The sequence below is a fragment of the Homo sapiens genome, chromosome 13, assembly GCF_000001405.40.
Source record: "Homo sapiens chromosome 13, GRCh38.p14 Primary Assembly".
Classification (NCBI taxonomy): Eukaryota; Metazoa; Chordata; class Mammalia; order Primates; family Hominidae; genus Homo; species Homo sapiens.
The window spans coordinates 68,330,200-68,331,870 of NC_000013.11; the positions used below are offsets into that span (position 1 = coordinate 68,330,200).

Here is a 1,671-nt window from a genome sequence, read left to right on the forward strand (position 1 = left end):
ATCAAAATATGGATTTAAATTGGTAATTAATAACAGTCAGTTTCTGAAAATGTTAACACAGAAGTTCAATAAAAATGCTAACTAGGTCTCAAATACCACAGACAGTATATTGACATATTAATATGTATCACTTATATTAAATGCTTTGTAGATTTTGACTTGAGAACAAAATAATAAGAAATAATAAGAATGAAAGCATTTCCTAATGAGCTTCCAAAGAGTCGGTGAACCTAGTGGATTATTTTTCTTTTTTCAGTTTTTATGCCTAAAATTTGTATGAAAGAATTTTCCATTATCAGAACCTAAAGAACTCTATTAAATGGAAGTGAGAAAAATTTAAAATGAGATGATAGGACACTCTTGAGGAATTTTAAACTAATAAGTGGTTGACATGTTGCTCAGTTTATGGGTCACTTGTTCTAAGATCTGTATAATAACTAGCTGCCCCACACTTATTCTATTACTTGTATGCCTCTCCAAAGGAAGAAGACTACGAAGCTTCATCAGGTGACACATAACCAATGAAATTATGAAATAACATTATAAGCGATGTTATAATAGAACTGAGAAATGAACAAACAAAGCAAACGTGCTCGAGCAATATGGTCATAGAATTACCAATATGTGCTTTGGAATGCATTAATTGATATCTGTTGAGATTTACTTGTTTAATTGTCTTATCTTAAACTGATACTAACATGGGATGATGTTCTCTGAGCAATTTAACTGATAGTATCTTAAATATGTTAAAGAAGTTTAAGGGAAAATAATGTGTTATTTACAATTTTCTAAAGAGAACTTTAAAACTGTACTTACATCTCAGAATAAATATATACAATATTATTCTGACCATGAAGAATAGTAAACAAATAAAAATCTGTTTAATGATAATGATAATCGTTTATGATCACTTAGGTCTTTGAATTTAAATAAAAATGGCAGATAAATTTTAACAGGATTTAGACATCAAATTTTAATGTATTTTTATTCCAATATGAGTCTGATGCTCTAAGTTAATATGTCATATATAAGTGGAAGGTAAGAAATCATTTCAGAGTACTTTGAAGATACACACACACACACATTTAAAAAATATTTTTTAACTGTCAATTTTACTTAGTCTCTGAAATATTTAATATGAACTGGGTGCTGCAACAGCTGCCTCTTGGCATTATGTTGTTCCTGCAGAGCACCTGTGCCTGAATCTGCGATACACAAATTTTAGGTGCTTTATTCAGCCAGTACCGATAGCATTTTGTTGTTTAGCCTTCATATTGCAGTTACATTAATACTTTTGTTTGTGGTTAGCAGGTTAACCTCATTTTAACAGGTGGAAACCATTAAAACCATAATGGCAACACAACATGCCTGTTTTCTTGTGACACATTCTAAATATTGATGTTCCCTTTGTCATCTCATCTCATAGCCCAGGCCAAAAAACTAGGTTTTTTTCTTTTTAAAATATTTTTGTTACAAGCATGGACATCTATGTGGATTATATAATGGTTAGATTTTTCTGTAACTGCCATCTTCAGATAAAAATAATTAATACAACAATGTTTTAATGATATGTATATATTTTTCTTTTTAAATTATGTGCTGAATGAGCCACAGAGTGATATTTGAAATTTAGAATATTCCAAATGGACTTACTTCTGAATTTGAGTTGTT

General features: G+C 29.7%; 1 pseudogene; it reads right to left on the minus strand.

Annotated features, from left to right (window-relative positions):
• RPL37P21 (ribosomal protein L37 pseudogene 21) lies at window positions 1,133-1,414 on the minus strand (annotated as a pseudogene).